The 17,805-nt window shown below is 48.6% G+C and overlaps 1 protein-coding gene across 3 annotated transcripts in view, besides 7 other annotated features; it reads left to right on the top strand.

Moving 5' to 3' along the window:
- Nucleotides 3,186-3,245: an enhancer, noted in NCBI's record as "active region_17566". NCBI's record gives its function as "activates an Ori minimal core promoter by ATAC-STARR-seq in GM12878 lymphoblastoid cells {active_cell/tissue: GM12878}" and the evidence as "EXISTENCE:reporter gene assay evidence [ECO:0000049][PMID:35858748]".
- Nucleotides 3,526-3,945: a silencer, noted in NCBI's record as "silent region_12698". NCBI's record gives its function as "represses an Ori minimal core promoter by ATAC-STARR-seq in GM12878 lymphoblastoid cells {active_cell/tissue: GM12878}" and the evidence as "EXISTENCE:reporter gene assay evidence [ECO:0000049][PMID:35858748]".
- RRBP1 (ribosome binding protein 1) overlaps nt 3,856-17,805 on the top strand; it is a 68,564-nt gene continuing 54,614 nt past the window's right edge. For 2 of the 3 annotated variants that reach the window (NM_001042576.2, NM_001365613.2), the window contains exons 1-2: nt 3,856-4,070; nt 6,023-6,099. The gene's annotated coding sequence lies outside the window, so the exon portion shown is untranslated. The remainder of the gene's footprint in view (nt 4,071-6,022; nt 6,100-17,805) is intronic. The other variant, NM_004587.3, reaches the window with a different exon arrangement.
- Nucleotides 4,176-4,505: a silencer, noted in NCBI's record as "silent region_12697". NCBI's record gives its function as "represses an Ori minimal core promoter by ATAC-STARR-seq in GM12878 lymphoblastoid cells {active_cell/tissue: GM12878}" and the evidence as "EXISTENCE:reporter gene assay evidence [ECO:0000049][PMID:35858748]".
- Nucleotides 4,499-5,171: an enhancer, noted in NCBI's record as "H3K27ac hESC enhancer chr20:17661572-17662244 (GRCh37/hg19 assembly coordinates)". NCBI's record gives its function as "activates a minimal SCP1, AML or CMV promoter by ChIP-STARR-seq in naive H9 embryonic stem cells {active_cell/tissue: H9 hESC(naive)}" and the evidence as "EXISTENCE:reporter gene assay evidence [ECO:0000049][PMID:30033119]".
- Nucleotides 4,536-4,585: a silencer, noted in NCBI's record as "silent region_12696". NCBI's record gives its function as "represses an Ori minimal core promoter by ATAC-STARR-seq in GM12878 lymphoblastoid cells {active_cell/tissue: GM12878}" and the evidence as "EXISTENCE:reporter gene assay evidence [ECO:0000049][PMID:35858748]".
- Nucleotides 4,616-4,925: a silencer, noted in NCBI's record as "silent region_12695". NCBI's record gives its function as "represses an Ori minimal core promoter by ATAC-STARR-seq in GM12878 lymphoblastoid cells {active_cell/tissue: GM12878}" and the evidence as "EXISTENCE:reporter gene assay evidence [ECO:0000049][PMID:35858748]".
- Nucleotides 5,363-6,562: an enhancer, noted in NCBI's record as "BRD4-independent group 4 enhancer chr20:17660181-17661380 (GRCh37/hg19 assembly coordinates)". NCBI's record gives its function as "activates an origin of replication core promoter dependent on BRD2, P300/CBP, MED14 and CDK7 cofactors, and independent of BRD4, by STARR-seq in HCT116 cells {active_cell/tissue: HCT116}" and the evidence as "EXISTENCE:reporter gene assay evidence [ECO:0000049][PMID:35650434]".

Here is a 17,805-nt window from a genome sequence, read left to right as displayed (position 1 = left end):
GACCTGGCGCTGAATGCAAGAGTTATTGCCATGAGCCTTGGGGACCAATGTAACTCCTCCGACGAGCCCTGTGACATGGGCAGGTTCCTTGCTCTCTCTGTGCCTCGGTTTCCTCATCTCTAAAATGGAAATAATAACTCTACCTCCCTTATAGGGTTGTACTGAGGGTTAAATAACTTTACGTATTTGTAGCGTGTCTCAAATGGTACCTGGCACAAGAAACCTAAACATGTTCTCTATTATCACAGTGGCTTTTATTTTCACATGATATTTTATTGTACTTGTCATTTATCATCCTTTCATAGTTGTTTGACAAAGCAAAATCTCTTTTTAAACTGTGAGATATAATATATTCCCATCTTCCTGTCTAGTCTTTCGGATAATATTTGCAATTTATTGTCATGAGTTAATGGACCATATTAGGTAATTATTCTTGTATGTTTAATTTTTTTCTAATAATAATGCTTTGTTTTTAATACACAACTAAAACCAAATACATCCTTTTTTTGAGTCAGGTTGATTGAAGCATAATTTGCTTCCAAGCCAAATGTACTCTTTTTAAGAGTGTACAATCCTATGAGTTTTACCACAGCCATCACTATAATCAAGATATGAAACATCTGCACCACCCCAGGGAAGTTCCCTGTTTCCCTTATGATCACCTGTGTAGAACCAGCTCTTCCCAGCCTCTCCCTCGCCCTTCAGGCTTTGCCAACAACTGAGTTGTTCAACAGATAAACTGAGATGATGTGATCTCAGATCATCCTCTCCCTCCACCTCCCCCTCTCCTCCTTCTCTTTCTCTGTCTTCTTCTTCTTCCCCTTCCCCTTCCCCTTCCCCTTCTCCTTCTCCTTCTCCTTCTTCTTCTTCTTCTTCTTTCTTCCAACCTGGAACTCTTGGGCTCAAGCAGTCCTGGGGCTAGCTGGAGCTGCATGGGCACACCACCACACCTGGCTAACATCATGCCTTACTTTGCCCATGCTATTCCTCGCCAGTGTGCCCTTTTTGGCCTGGCTACCTCCCACTTCTTCACACCTCTGCTGTCAGCCTCTGCTCCCCTCAGGGTGGGGTAACTCCCCCGGCTGGGGGCTCCCAGACTGCTGACTTTGTGTTGAAATGACCTGTTCCCATCTGAGAGCCCCAGCCTGGAGGCTGGACTGTGGGATGGGCTTTCTCGTGCTGCTGGAGGGCTGCATGATTTAGCAGAAGACTTGAGCCTGGGGGGATGCCTCTCACTCCCACCACAGGCAACCCTTGTCCATCTAGTCCTAGGGATGGATCTGGTTTTTCCCAGATACGCCTTGGGAGAGCTGACGAGGCTGCAGGGGGTTAAAGATGGGTGTCCACAGGCACAGCAGTGGCTGTCAAAGTCGGGCCACCCTGAGGGTGTGCAGATCTGCCCTGACAGAGCCTGGTGCAGCGGGACTGATTTCTTTGCCCAAAGGGCATGAGGATGATGAGGCTGGAAGTCTTCACAGCACATTGGGGCTGGCTGTTGGCAGATGAGGGGCAAGGACAGAGGAAATGCAAAGGCTCAGACAGGGCTGCTCTTCCATCCCGAAACAAATGTTGTGTTGAGGCCAAATCAAATGTTAAGTTATGTAAGGGAACAAACAGGGAGCCCCTTTTCTGTAAACACTCCTCACTCCTAAGGACTTTGTAATGTTATCGCTCATGGGACAATATTTACAGAACACGTATATTCACAAGCCTCTATTCTGTGCAGGTGCTGTGTCGGACTATGGTTCACAGTGTGGGAGACACTGCTGTGGCCCCCGACATGCCTCCAGGCACTCACCATTCTGCCAAGGGCTTCTTGCTGCAAGGCTTTCTCCAGCTTGATGGGGGCGGGGGTTAAAGTCCCCCCAGAAGAAGCTGTTAACCAATGAGGACTGGGAGTGGCTGGATAAATAACCAGGTCCTCACCCCTCAGCTGGGACGTCTCTGGGGTGTGTTCTACAGTTTCACAGCATCCCCAGAGACGCCGAGCCCTGTGTGCCCACACCAGTCACAGGCTTGATGTTGGTCCCCTTATTGGCTCCTGCTCATCCCACTTCTCCACCAATGTTTCTTATGATTATCCCCCAAATGAATGATTGAACAAACCCTACTGCCAGGATCTGCTTCCGGAAAAAGATAAACAGTGAACAGGATAAAGGAGGTCCCTGTCCCTGGACAGGCCCTTGAGGGCAGCTGGGTCTTCACTGGACCTATGTGTCATTCTAGGCTGCTTGCCCAGCTTAGCACTGTATACCGGGCACTCCACAAACACCGGTGAATGAATGAATGAATGAATGAACGAATGAATTTCCTCCCTGAAACCCAGAGGAAGGAGTGATTGTCCTAAAGGAGTATACCCATGTTCAGAAAGGTTAGATGGCCCAGCCCTGGTCAAGTAGGACTCATTGGTAGCAATTGCCAGCCAGAAGCTGGGATTCTTGACTTTCATTTGAAGCCGGGTCTCACTGCTGGAAAATGACTGAGTGTTCCAGAGTTAATCCAGGTTAATTCCTGCTGATTAATCATTAATGGGCTAAGGAACCGCCAAGATTAAAAATAGGAATGAACAGTTTAATTTCAACCCAATCGCTCTTTATTCCCCATGAAGGCTTGTATTTTTCACATCTTTCTAACAACAGCTAGTACAGTACTAGTGACAAATGGGGACAGGGAAGATTGAAAATTGTCCAAGAAATAGATGTTAGGCACGGGATTCTGCAGCAACAGGAGCTAGGGAAGTGATGGGGGGCAGTCTAGGCAGCCTTTGGTCGCTCAGAATCCAAAATTCCAAAGAAGCTGGCTTTGGCTCAAGTTCAAAGGGTTGGCTTTAAGAGACGCTGACATAATGGTTAAAAATCAAGCCTAAAATTATTTTAATTTAAAGACTTGACTAATTATGAAGACTGAGTGTTGGCTGATATTGGGGAGAAAGTCAGGGAATGAGGAAGTACCAGTTGCTCCGTTTTGTGGGACACGGATGAGTTTTCTTAGGTTAGAACCTCTCACCTTCCCCAACGCATGGAATAAAACGCCACAGAGTGGATTGTAATTATTGCTCTGCCGGCTGTGATTTGGTTGAGTATCTTAAATAGACCGTGCCTCAGTTGTACCCTCCCTAACAACGAGGGCGATGACATCCGCTTCAATTCCTCGTGCACCTTCTGGCTCTTCCACCCCAATTCCTCCATTTACTGAAGGAAATTCCTTCTGGTGCTGATTGCAATCTCTTTGATGATAAGAACTTGCTCTCCCTGGGCTGACCCCCAGCAGAGCTTGTCCTCATACCCGGCGGCCCGAGGGGGCGCTGCTTCGGGGGAAGTTAGTTGGGTTTAAATAAAGCAGCTTCCTTGGCTGTTCGCGGTTGCGCAACCCTGTTCAGCCACCGCCATGTCAGCCCAGCGGTATCCAGAGGCGCAGGCCCGGGGTCGCCGGGACCCGAACCTTCTGCTTCCCGCCTAGGCAGAGCCGGATCCTAGTCAGAGACTGCTGGGAGCGCCGCGGGCCCAGAGTGGGCGGAGCTGGCCGGAGACCCCCCCCTCGGTGGGCGGGGCGTTCCTGCTCCGCCCCGCCCCGCGCACGGCCGAGCGCCGCGCCGCTCGGCCCCGCCTCTCCCCAGCCCTGCCCCCTTCACCTCCCCGCAGCTCCTCCCCTCTCCCATTGGCCGAGGTGGAGACCCTCCTCTCTGCCCAATGGCCGCCGCCGCGGCTCGGCCACCCGCGTCCTGACTGGCCAGCGACCGGCAGAGTGGCGGGGTGCGGACCAATGGGAAGAGGCGGCTCGATGAATGGCTGGCCCGGGTGGGGAAGGCAGGAGGCGGCGATCCCGGCGGAGGGGGCCGTTCGCCAGCTCTGAGGCAGAAAGTGCCACGACTCCACACGCGCGCACGCAGCCAGCGAGCGGCCGGAGCGGACGGCAGACGGGGCGGGCGGCGTCAGGGTCGCAGCGTCTACAGCTGCTCGGGGGCGGTTTCTTGGCGGAGGCTTGGCCGGCTCCTCTCTCCCGGCTCCGCGGCGGCTGCGAAGGCGGCGGCTCCTGCCCTCTCGCTTTCCCTCTCGCGTCTCTGGCTGCAGGTAAGAAACTTGGCCGGGCCCTGCAGCGGCCGCGCGCGGGCCGGGCCGTCGGGGGGCCGGGGCCGGCCGCGCTGCGCCGCGAGTGACACGTCTCCTCGGCGGCCCCTCCCCCGGCCCGCCCGCCGCCCGCCGCCTGCCGCCGCGGCCGTGCACCATCGGGGTCGGGGTCGGACTCGGGGCGGGGGTGCCGGGCAAGCGCCGTACCGGGGCGTAGGCAGGGCGCGCCCCGTGGTGTGGACCCCGCGGCCCTCGCCGTCCGGGGAGCTGCGGCGGCAGACGGGCGCGACGTGGCGACCGCTCCCTGCCTCCCTCCCTCCCGGCAGGGCCGTCGGGCCGGCCAGCGCGCTCCGAAGTTGGGCGAAGAAAGTTGGCGGCGGGGCGGGGCGGGGCGGCGCACAGCTGGCGGAGGAAGGGGTTAAGTTTCGGGAAGCCGCCGGATGACGTTGCCGGGCTGGAGTCCGGGCCGGAGGGGTGGGGTGCGGGCGGAAGGCGGCGGAGGCCGGCCGAGGGGAGGAGGGCGGGATTGAATGGGGGCCCACGGGCCGAGCGCGCCGGTCCCGGGCCGCGGCCCGCTGGCGCTTCGCGGGGCTGGGACGGCCCCCGACGGGGCGGGCCGGGGCCGCAGGGCTCGCGGCGCAGGGACCGGGTCTGTCCATGGCACGGACGCCGGGCGGCCGCGGTGGCAACTTCCCGGAGTGCGGGAGGCGGCTCCCTGCTCCCCCTGGCGGCGGGGCCGGGGCCACCGTTTCCCCGGCTGGGCTGCGCGGAGCCTGGCTCGAGGGCTCCCGGCGGGGGGACGAGGGCGCCCGGGGCCCGGCCCGCCCCGCCCGCGGCCACGATGAATGGGCCGGCGGTGCCAGCCCCGGGCGGAAGCGGACACCTCCGGGCCGGCCAAGCGCGCTGGCACCCGGCCTGGTGCCCGCCCCGGCCCGGCCGGCTCTCCCGCTGCGCCCTGATTAGGGGAGGCAGGCCGGGGTCTGCGCTTCCAGTGGGGCGCCCGCAGTGCTTCAGGGACCCCTCTCCGAATGATAAGTCGCGAGTTTTAGCTCTAGAGTGCCCCGGCTGGCGAGGGTGACCCCGACCAAGTTGTTTCGTTCGGGGTCTCCATTTCCTGGTCTGCAAATCGGGGCTCCTGTTAGCTTCGATTTGCGAGGAAAGCTGTGGAGACCCAGCACTTGTAGGAAGGAGCCACAAGTGTTGGCTGTTCAGTTGGGATGCTTTTGTTGGGGGGTGCTGGACACGGGAGGAAGGTGGGGCCTGGCTCCGGCACTGCGGCGGGCGCGGGGCTGCAGAAGTTGCACAGCCGGGGTTCTACACCCCGGACCACGTACTGGCCGCCTACTCGCAGGTCCCATAGCCCCTCTGAATCCTAGTTTCTTATCTGTGGCCTGAAGACAGCACCACCCACTCACAGGGTCGGGAACCACGCCGGGAAGTGCTGGGACCTTGTACAAACAGAAGGCAATTTGGCAATTACTCTGAGAGGTCAGAGGTTAGGAGAGACTGGGAAGCACCAAGGAAATGAAACTCTGAGGGACCTGAGGAGCCTCCCACGTCACTGCTCAGCTATTCACTCTGCGTGCTGGAACCTTCAGGGTAGGGGCCATCTGGATGGCATTTTCAGGAATTTGGAGAAATGGGCCTGGTAGGGCCTCATATCTCACATTAGATACCTCTTCAGAACTGGGTGTCCCCAGAGACCCAGGACGTCTGTCTGGCACTCCCAGGAAGAACAACTGCGAATGTTACCCCGCCCTGTGCAGCTGGGGGGCATTCTCCCACTGCCCCGCCTCCCTCCTCACACTCCTTGTTTGATTTAACTTCCTGTTAATCCGACACCTAGAGAAATCTGTGACCCTGCAGCATGTCACTTACTGTGTGATGTCTTGACTCGTTTACGAACTTGCCAAAGGTCACTCCCACTATCATATGCCAACCTCTTTCCCTTCCAGAAAGAAGCTTCCGGTTCTGAGGTCCTGGAGGTGCCATTTCCCTCTCTGTTGAAGCAAAGGCCGGGGCAGACCTCCTAGTAGGTGAAGTTTTCCTTTTACATGGAGCACCGCAAAGCCGGCTTGCAGGGATCTTGGGCCAGTGGAGGCCTGGAGGAGGCTAAGGTTGGGGGAGGGGAAACCAGAAAGGGATCTTGGGGTTTAGGAGAGGGTTTAGAGCTCTAGGCACTATAACAACTCTCACCTTTCATACTTAGGAATCTGCCTCTGAACATTTACAGAGAGATTAAGAAGTTACAGTGGTTCATGGTATATGAGTATTTTTTGGTGATGGAAGAGTTTTAAATAAATCTTAAATCAAGTCACATTTGAGCAATTATGCTCTTTAATGAAATGAGCCCTAACTCAACAGGCTGCAATAATTACATAGCAGCAAACTCAGTTTAAATGGTTGAATGCCAGTGATTGAATTGGAGTATTGATTTATTATGTAGCAGGGACACCTTTTAAAAGTGTCGGGACCCCAGACTCTTCTTGTCTTTTTAGCCCTGGGAATTTTAACTAATAGATGAATGACACATAGAGGATCAACAGTTCTGTTGAGACAGCAAGTTTTTCTTTGCTAAAATCTTGTTTCAGGAGAAACAAAAATAATGGTCAAGTCAGAATGATGAAGGCAGGGACTGTGCTGTCCGTCTGTGCATGCTGGGCCTGCAGTGGTTAAGGCCTGGCCTATAACATCATAAATATTGGTTATACCAGGCGGACAGCGCCCCCATACCTGTTAAACTATTCCCAGCTGTCTCATTGGATAAATGAAGCTTAGCCCAACTTGGTTTTTAAGGTTCACTTTTTAGAATCAGATTCCACAACTGTGGTTTACATTTAGGCCTTAAAATAACCCTGTTCTAGGGGGTGGGAATGGTTGTCACCCATTCAGTGGATGAGAATGTGGAGGTCCAGCTGGTCAGAAGGTTGTCAGGCCAGTTCCTGTTGCCCAGTTGCTAGGCGATGTGGGCCCGGCCTTCCAAATGTTCCCTCCTGGCTATATACCTCCACCTTCCTGGGGCAATAATTACCCAAGGGAGGACACAGAACGTGAAGATCAAAATTAAGAGCTTCAGTGGCAGGAAGGTGGGGAGGCATTTTGAAAATCTGGCAGTGCTGAAGGTATTTTTCATTTCATTTTTTTCACCGAGGGTCTCCTGTGTGGTGGGCCTTCAAACACCGCAAGTGAGACCTAGTTCTTGCCTGAAAAAGCTACTGTCTAGAACTGTGTTGTCCAATACAGTAGCCACAAGTAGCAATTTAAGTTTAAAACAATTCAAATTAAGTAAAATTAAAAATTCAATTTCTGAGTCAAATTAGCCACATTTCAGGTGCTCAGTAGTCATAAGTTGGTCAGCGTGGCTGTAGATGGTTTCCACCATCACAGAAAGTTCTAGACAGTGCTGATGTAGAGGCAGCTGGTATTCTGTAAACATTCATGTCCCTGTTCCTCTTGATCATGTGGTAATATGTTGAACCACATGAAATTGCCCATTCTGTAGGTCAAAACCAGTTGACTAGTGGCAGTTGATACACTTCACCTGATAAGATCTCACCCTGAGAAAGCATTAGTCCCGCCTCTTTGTGTGCATTGTAAACTGCATTCCAAGAAAAAGGAGTGGGAGGGGGGCCACACAGATAGTGGCCCTTTCCTGGAGAGATTTTTTACCCAATGCCCTCAGCATCAAAATGGTGACTTGTAACAAAGACAGAAAATAAATTGATATTAGGTAGAAAGTGATGGCTTGTAAGGGAAGGTAAATATTTAATTTTAAGTGACAGTGCCTAGGCAAGGAGGCACTCTCACTTAGCATATAGAAAATTAGTTCAGGGGCCTCCTAGGAGACTTTTCTTAGGCAGACAAATTCTGGCCGAGTCTCCTGAAGCAGACAACCAGACACCCCCAAAACCAGACGTGTGTGTCCTTTATGTGCATTCAGTAACATGTGTCTTCCACCTGTCAACAATGGGCAGCAACTTTAACTTATCAAGAACATTTTGTGATTTCTAACTTAGATTTTTTTGGCAAGACTAGAATACCTGCCCAGTCCCGAAACCTTTTCAGTTCCAAAGTATTGGAGTTCCAGTGTTCTTGGGTGGCATAAATTGCTTCCTACACCAGTGACTATTTACACAGCTCTGTTATTCTCCATATAACTTTTTTTTCTTTTTCTTTTTTCTCTTTTTTTTTGAGACAAAGTTTCGCTCTTGTTGCCCAGGCTGGAGTCCAATGGCGTGATCTTGGTTTACTGCAACTTCTACCTCCCGGGTTCAAGTGATTCTTCTGCCTCAGCCTCCCAAGTAGCTGGGATTACAGGCATGCGCCACCACACCCGGCTAATTTTGTATTTTTAGTAGAGACGGGGTTTCACCATGTTAGTCAGGCTGGTCTAGAAGTCCTGACCTCAGGTGATCTGCCCTCCTCGGCCTCCCAAAGTGCTAGGATTATAGGCATGAGCCACCGTGCCCGGCCTCCATATAACTTCGAAAGGATCATTGGGCAGTACTGGGGAATAATTTTTGAATTCTTGGTTGTACTTGTGGGCTCATCTTAGTATTAGTACTCTGTAAAGAATAATATAAAACCAAAGTTTAACTTTAAAGGAAGAAGCTGAATGATGGACAGCTACTTGATCTCTTTCTGGTCAGAAAGGAGGCCCACTAAGACTACTGGAAGTTACAGACTATTTATAGTGATAATGAATATCATCTGCTGACTCAAAAGTTGGAATAAAAGACCATCTTGAATTCAAATCTTTAATTCTCTATCCTGGGCAAGGTATAAGCAAACAAGGTCTGTTAGGGTATAAGCAAACAAGGTCTGTTAGGCTGTCTTGAGAGGAATTCCAAACTGGTGCCCTGTGTGAGCTGAACTTGGCCTTCACATGGAATTTGTTTCACTGACCTCATGTTATTAAGCAATTGAGTCACCTTTTAAAAGTGGAATTTTTTTTTTTTTTTTCACTAAAATCTAGATTTTTTGGGCTGGGCACAGTGGCTAATCCCTGTAATCCCAGCACTTTGGGAGGCCAAGGCGGGTGGATCGCTTGAGCCCAGGAGTTTGAGACCAGCCTGGGCAACATGGCAAAACCCCATCTCTATAAAGAATGCAAAAACTAGCCAGGCATGGTGGCATGTGCCTGTAGTCCTGGCTACTCAGGTGGCTGAAGCAGGAGAATCATTTGAACCTGGAAGGTGGAGGTTGCAGTGAGCCAAGATCATACTACACTCCAGCCTAGGCGACAGAGTGAGACTCTGTCTCATAATAAAAAACAAAAACAAAATCTAGATTTTTGGGTTCTCTGGGGGAAAATGGGAATTTCTGGCTACACTAGGTTGACTTTCTTGTGTGGCAGCCGTGGACTGTGTTTGTCCTCTCTAAGCTGGGCCTGTGCTCTCAGTGCCCAGCATCCTACCCCAATATATGTTATGTGCTTGGGTATTGGCAGTCCCTCAGGGTGCTGGGGGCTGTCCGGTGTGACCGGACTAGTCATCAGCTTGTCCCACGGAGCTGCTGTGTGGAGCAGTGGGAGAAGCACTGGTTGGGTGTTCTGATCCCTGGAGTGAGTGAGTGACTTTGGACATGACTTCTCCTCCCTGGGCTTCAGTTTTCTCCCTCCTATAAAATGAAACTAGGCCAGCTAGCTCCACCTTTCAGGCCACAAACCTCGGTTTATCCTTAACTCCTCGCCGTCTCATACCTGTACCCTGTACGCAGCAGGTCCCATCAGCTCTACCTTCCAGACAGAGCCAGTGTGACCATTCTCACCACTTCTGCCTTCTCCCTGGTCCAAACAGCTCTTACCTTTTGATTTTTTATTTCTGAGAGGGTCTTGTTCTATCACCCAGGCTGGAGTACAGTGGCGCAATCACTGCTCACTGCAGTTACAACATTGCAGGCTCAGTTAATCCTCCTGCCTCAGCCTCCTGGGTAGCTGGTACCACAAGTGCATGCTACCACACCCAGTGAATTTTTAGGTTTTTTTGTAGAAATGGTGTCTTGCCACGTTGCCCAGGCTAGTCTTGAACTCCTGGGCTAAAGGAGTCCTCCTGCCTTGGCCACCCAAAGTGCCAGGATTGTAGGCGTGAGCCAGCATGCCCAGCCTGCTCTCACCTCTGCCCCGGGTTATTTCTCTAGCCTCTGGTGGGCTCCCTGCCTTTGCCTATACCCCCTGCCTTCTAGTCTGTTGCCAGAGCAGACCATGTCACTCCTCTGTTCAAGACCCTCCTTGGTCAAGGTCTCCAGTGGCCTCTCAGGGCACTTTCGCTCTAGCTTCACTCCTACCATCTCCCTGTCCTCTGCTGCAGCCACGGTGGCCTCTGTTCCTCAGGCATGCTTCTGCCTCCGGGCCTTTGCGTCTACTTTGGCATATCCCTAAGAGCTTTTCCTTAGATGGCACATGGCTGGCTCCCTCATCTCCTTCAGGCCTGTTGGCTACCCTGTGTGGAGTGTCAGCCTCTGACGCTCTCCCACCCCCACTCCCTGCCCCCCTTCTCTGCATCACTTTCTCTTCATCACCCCCTGACATGTCCCGTATTTGACTGACTTTGTCATCTCCCCCTCTGAAGCGTAAGCTCTACCAGTGCAGGGATGTAGCTTTTGTTTCCTGAGGTATATCCAGTGTCGAGGGCAGTGACTAGCATGCAATAGGTGCCCATTCTTGCTGAGCTAATGGAGATGATTTTGTAGCACTGGCGTTCTGCGAGTATATCATGTAGCCTGAAGGAGTCTGGATTCCTAGAGCATCACATATAAACACAAAAACATATTCCAGAGCCAAATGCAAGTGAAGTTTGGATTACCTCCAGCCTGCCTCCAGTTGAGAAATTGACAGTCACATGCAGAGGGCACTGTTAAATGTGGACATCCTGCCCTTCCAGCGGAGGCTGGGGTTTGAAGTGAACCTTAGGAGACGATGTGGATGTTGGCTCTCTCCTGGGAGCCCTCAGTCTCCAGCCTGGTTAGATTCATCCCAGTGTCTCTGGGAGTCCATCATGCATGGCACCTTGACAGAACTGGGCCCTTCCCAGGTGCTTGCACCAGTTCTGGGGAGGAGACTTGGCTGTGAGCATCCTTTAATTCCTTGTATAACCAATGAGTGTGAGGTGGGCCTTGCAGAGTCACTGAGCATTTCAGTGACGACACACTCACCAGGAAACAGAACATTTGTTTTGGGTGTGAACAGTGTGCTGGCTGCTCTGAAAAGAGGTAGATTTTGTGTTTAGTGGGCAAGAATGTTCCTTAGGGGGAGAAGGGAGAATTCTTTTTTTTTGAGAGGGAGTCTCGCTCTGTCTCCCAGGCTGGAGTGCAGTGGTGCATCTCAGCTCACTGCAAGCTCTGCCCTCAGGTTCATGCCATTCTCCTGCCTCACCCTCCTGCTGGACTACAGGCGCCCACCACCAAGCCCAGCTATTTTTTTGTATTTTTTTTAGTAGAGACGGGGTTTCACCATGTTAGCCAGGATGGTCTCGATCTCCTGACCTCGTGATCCACCTGCCTCGGCCTCCCAAAGTGCTGGGATTACAGGCTTGAGCCACCGAGCCTGGCCGGGAGAATTCTTATAGTTGGCATTACATTTTGTTTTCTCTTGGTCAGTCCTCATCGTGCTAGGAAGTGAGGGAGGGGTCAAGGTTCCTCTCCTGCCTCACCTCATGGTGATGTTCTTTTCTCAGAGGAATTTTGTGTGGCAGTCCACTAAGTAGGAGGAGCAATGGCTGAGGCAGGGTGGTCTGGTTGGGAAGAGGCAATACTACGTCCAGCCCCATCCTTTGTTTCTCCTCTTCTCTCCTGTTGATTTTAGGTGAAGAAGAGTAGATACTAGATTTCTAGCCCTTTCTAACGGGAATGTCTGACCTACTCATTTTACTTGGAAAGGTGAAAGACCCTTGTTCAAACCCAGGTGGTGTGTTTTTTTGAAGTTCTCATTCAGTGATTAAAGTGTGCAACTCAACTGCATTAAATTGGTTTTTAATTAAGTCTGATCCTGAATAGGAATTAGATGTAGCTTTAGTTTTATGAATACATTTTTATTTCCTTGGTAGTTCTAGGTATTTGTAGTAATTAGAAAGGAAAGTCTTAATTTTCAGAATAGTAATCACAGTGATTGAGGGGAGGAAGGAGTCAATGCTGAAGAATAAATGAATTATTGAGACTCTTAATGAAAAAAGTCTTATTGGTAATGTGTCAAAGGACTCTTAAAAGGTCAACTTTAGCCACTGCTCTGAAGCTAAGTTAGTCTTTTCCATCTTAAGTCATATCCCTCTTAAGTTGGAAGATCTGGAGACTTATTCTGTACAGTTTGATTTTAAAAAGACTGCAGGTGGGCCGGGCATGGTGGCTCAGCCTGTAGTCCCAGCACTTTGGGAGGCTAAGGCGGGCAGATCACCTGAGGTCAGGAGGTCGAGACCAGCCTGGCCAACATGGTGAAACCCTGTCTCTACTAAAAATACAAAAACTAGCTGGACATGGTGGCACATGCCTGTAATCGCAGCTACTTGGGAGGCTGAGGCAGGAGAATCAATTGAACCCGGGAGGCGGAGGTTGCAGTGAGCCGGGATCGTACCACTGCACTCCAGCCTGGGCGACAAAGTGAGACTCCATCACAAAAAAAAGAAAAAAGAAAGACTTCAGGACAGCAAGGTGGCATGGCCACAGGACTATAAAGGGCTGTGGGTCCCACTGAGTCACTGCCCTGTCAGGTCAGGAGGTGACTGCCTGCCTTGACCCTGGCCTCAGTTACTTCCTGTCTGTGAAGGGAGCGATCCTGTGTGGGTGTGAGCACTGGGAAGTGGCAGTAGTAACAGGGCTCCATAACAGATTCTTCAGGCCTTAAAGATGCTCCTCCTCCAGGATCTGTGGGGCGCGTTTTCCAAGGAAATATGACACACATTTTAAACTCTTTATTAAAGTAAAATATATACAGAAAAATGCACTATCACGAGTCTACGCAATAAGTATCCACAAGCTAAACATGCCTGTTTAACCAGCAGATCAAGAAATAGATTATTCCTGACCTCCCCAACCTCCTTCTGTGCCCCTCTTCCAGCTGCTGCCCATCGTGGGCAGGGAATACCTGCTCTCTTCTTAATAATACCAGTGATTGATTTTGCTTGTGTTTGAACTTGATGTAAATGGACTCAAACGGCATATGCTCTTTTGTGTCTTTCACTCAACGTTACGTGTAAGACTTGTCAGGTTGTTGGGGTAATTGTAGTTTGTTCATTCTCACTATTCCAGCATGTGAATATATGAGTTTATTCACATTACTGTAGGTGGGTACTTGGAGAGTTTCCAGTTTGGGGCTATTAATGCCGCAGACTTTTGGTGAATGTCTATACACATTTCCATTGGGTCTGTATACCTAGGAGTAGAATTGCAGGACCAGAAGGAGGTAGGTGCTCGGCTTTAAAAGAAAGTGCCAGACTTTTTGTCTGAAGTGCTTGTTCTAATTTATACTCCCACCAACAGTATATGAATGAGACCTTGGAATATATTATAAAGTGGCTGATTCTAAAAGGGAACCAAAATGAATTTTGAGTTACCGTTGATAATAAATAAGAAATGACTCACTCAGGCTGAAGTTCTCCGCTGTCACAGAGAGAGGATGTTAGGCTGGCAGAATTCGTTAATCAAAGGTGGGCCTTGGGAAAAGGGCTTGTGAGGGTCAGATTTTATTGCTGATGAGCAGGTGATATTTCCTAATATAAACCTGAGTGGAAATGCAGCTCTTCTCCAAGGAGTTAATGGAAGGGAATTCAACGAAGCTCATATCTTGAGATTGAATTCTTCATCAGAACTCTTCCCCTACAGAGTGAATTTCCTAAAAACGAACCAATAGTTGGGTATCAGACCTCATTTAGCTCTGGCCCATGTGTTTCTAATTAGAAGCTCTGCCCACCTCTAGGGGTTGGCAGTGTCGGGATATTCCTGCAGGAGCCCTTCCTCCCTGGCCCACCTAGTAATGAAGGATGGTATATCCAGGTCCAGAGTTGGTAGTAGTCTCCCTGGCACAGCCAGCCTCCTGGCACATGGCAGCCACGTGCTCCCTTTTCTTTGAAGAGCATGGTTGGCTGGAATTTGGTTTGGCTGTTGGGGGCGACAACACTGGGTTTCTGGTGATAGAATAGGCTGGGTGGCCTGAACCGGTCTTCTAACTTGCTGGATGGCCTGGACAAGAGGTAAATGACATTAAAAATACCTTCTGACAAGCCTAGAATGGAATACACTGAAGCAGGTGGTGAAAGGAGTGACCCAAGAGGATAAGGACAACCCCGGGGGCCTTTGGCAAAATAGGCAAACTCTTAAGTTCTGATAGCATCTCCAGGCGCAGGGGGCAGAGATTAATGCTGGCAGCATGATAGGACACAGGCTCCCTGAGTTGGAACCACAAGGGGCCATGACACCTTCATGGAGAAGGGGAGTCAGAGGTAAGCCCATTCTCACCCTACAGGCAGGGTAGGGAGGGGCACATTCTGAGAAGTGGATATCACAAGTTGTCCCTCATGTGGATCCCATGACTTGAGTAGTGGGAAACTCCAAGCTGATTTGAAGATTCTTTATTTGAGAGTGGACCTGCACACCTAGTGTTCCTGGGTCAGTCCAGGGGCGAGCAGATCATTGAAGGACTGCACCTTTATCCTAGGCTCACCAAATCCCCAGTTGTAATTATCAAACGAAAGAGAATAGTCCATAGTTAGGAACAACTAAATGCAAAGGATGAAATAGCACTGAATGAGGACCAGCAGGAAGAGATCTCAGAAAACATAAGATAATGGACTTGTTGACATAGATTTTAAAGGCCTTACTCAAACTAAATAGGCAAGATTGAAAATACCTATGAGGAAGAGGAAACTATACAATGACCTAGCAAATTTGAAAAAGGAACCAGGAACAACTTGTAGACATGAAAAGTTCATGTCTTTATAATAAAAATCTAACAGATGGATTTACTAGCAGATTACATAAAACTGAAGAGAGTGAATGACCTGGAAAGTAGAGAAGAAGAAATATAATTTAGAGAACCACATAGATGAATAATTTGTAAGACCAATTAAGATTCAGGAAGAGTAGATGCAGAAGTGTGTCTAATTGGGGTTCCAGGAGAGGAGCGAGGACAGAGCCAGTACTTGAAAAGCTAATGACTGAGAATTTTGCGGAATGCGTAAGACACCCAACCAAAACCCAAGCCGGGTAAATAAAAATAAATCCACATATAGACATTTAGTGATACAGCAACTCAAGGGAAAAATTCAACAGTGAGAGTGAAAAGATTGTTTTAAGACAAAAACCCAAGATAGCTACTGACAGATCTTTGCTAAAGGAACTTCTCAAGGATATTCTTGGAAGGAAGGTGATGGCAAGTGGAAAAAGACATAACAAGCAATGATGAGTAAAGAAAGTGGTAAATATTTGGACAGTTCTAAATACATGTAAAAGAATAATGTTGGAGAGGCTGGAACAAGGATAAGATTAAATACATGAAAACAGTAACATCTAAGTTGGAAGGGATAATAGAATTAATTTGGGGGGGTAAAGATTTGTTTAACTTTGAATTTTGTGAGTGCTGTGTGTTACTGTTTTTTTTTTTTTAAAGGTAATTGCTAAAAAGTAGAAACAATGAAAAAAAAAAAAGAATCCTACACTACTCATTTTGATGCCAGCCAACCTTGTTACAAAACTTGACAAGAATGGTAGGAGGAAAGAAAACCATCAGTCAGATCTCATACCTGAAAAGATAAACAAAGTCCAGCAGTATGTATGACTAAATCGTTTTATCCTAGGAATTCAAACTTGGTTTAACGTTTAAAAATAAGTTTATATTCACCTTCCACACCTACGGGTTATAGGAGTAGAATAGTATGATTATCTTAATAGATACAGATAAAGTATTTGATAAAATTCAACATCTATTTATGTAAACTAGGAATAAGAAAGCAACCTCTTTATCCTGATAAAGGATGTCTGCAAAAAGGCTTTAGTAAATCTCACACTAAAGAGAGACACCTAAATCTTTCCCTTTGATATGAGAAAAACAGAATACTTGCTGTCATTCCTTCTCTTTAGCACTGTGTTGAAGGTCCTGCCCTGTGCAAAAATTCAAGAAGAATTAAGCAGACGATAGGAAATTGGGAAGAAAGAAACAAAACTGTGATTCATATGCTTATATATGTAGAATTTTTTTCTTTTTAATCGACAGATGTGTTACTAGAATTAGGCAAGTTGCTGTGGGGGAAAAATCACCCTGCTGGAATCAGTTACGTTTCCGTATACCAGCAACAAGCAGAAAACGAAACTTCAGAGCTACCATTTGTAAGAGTGTGAAAACTATGAAAAACTAAGAAGTAACTCTGAAAACGTGTAAGACTCCATGGTGTGTATTATTTCCCATCTGGAAACTTGGGTTGTTCTGTTTAGATTTGATCCTTATAATGGTATACATTAGCACATACGATGCTGATATGATATTGAGTAGACGATTGATTCATCACTTACCATATTTGATGTGGTGAGGTTTGATTTGATACAGTATAGATGACACTGACCCCTGCTTTTGGGAGACAAATGTTTACGGCAGTAAGAACTCCCTTGTGGGCTAGCACATCTTAACTGTTCATGTCCATTTTGAGACATCAGTTCTTGATTCCTACCGCATAGGCATGCTGTCTTCCTCAATAAGGTGAAGCCCGTAGGCTTCTTGGAAGTTCGCAGAAGATTTAGGTCTGTTTAAGTACCTACTTTCCAAAGACTGTTATTTGGAAAGACACCAGAAATTGTCAATTCTTTATTTTTTACCCCCCTCAGGCATAGAAATTGAATCTGAAATGGCTGATGAATAAGCAAAGGCTTATAATAGAGTACATTTCTATTTTTAGTGTTTCAACTCTTCTTTAAAATGAGTAACATTGTTTCTTTAAAATAGGGAGTCCATTATATGTATCCTCTTAGAAATGAAATAAATTTTTTCGGACTCTTTGTTACTGCATTTTCTCTTAGTTTCTTTGGGTTAAAAAAAAAATCAGAGATTGCACTTAAAATTTTAGGTCAACTGATCTGAAACCCACTTCTCCAACACTTAGAAATGTTACATAGTTAGTAAGCAGTCTTTAAAATGCATAGTAGTGCATTCACAAGGTAGGGAAAGAGATGACCAGAGTTCATAAGCCAAGGTTGCAGCGAGTGACTGGGACCTGCAGTGAGCTGACCCTGGGACAGGGGTAGGGGTGCGGTATTATCGGTCAAAGTCATCTGAGTCTTTGGCTTTAATGTCCAGGGGGAATGGGATTTTGTCTGAGACTGGGAATGGGAACTGAGCCTTCTCTCACATCCACCTGTAAGACTTGAACCCTTGAAGGGCTGTACCCTCCATGGGAGGACAGACTAGAAAGAACACCTGCCCAGTAGTCGCAAGGGGAGATGACAGGTAAGAATTTATCTGTTTTGTCCTGGGCAAGGGAGACACAGTCTCCTGATAATTTGTAAGAGGAGACCATGCCTCTTGTAAAAGTTAGTCCCTGGCTGGTCTTCCCTGAGGCCCTAGTTGAAGCAAAGATAAAACAGCTCATTAGAGGCAGGCCCACAACTCAGCCCATTAAGGTTTACCAGTGATAAAGCCCCACAAAGATATAATATCAAATCACTGTTAGAGGTAGAAAAGAAGACAATGAAAAATAGAAAAGCCAGTCAGACTTAAAAAACAAATCGAATAACGAAGGACTGATTATAGAGCTGGTGAGATTCA

The sequence above is a fragment of the Homo sapiens genome, chromosome 20, assembly GCF_000001405.40.
Source record: "Homo sapiens chromosome 20, GRCh38.p14 Primary Assembly".
Taxonomy (NCBI): Eukaryota; Metazoa; Chordata; class Mammalia; order Primates; family Hominidae; genus Homo; species Homo sapiens.
Note: the sequence above shows the minus strand (reverse complement) of the source record. Positions and strands in the feature narration are given on the sequence as shown.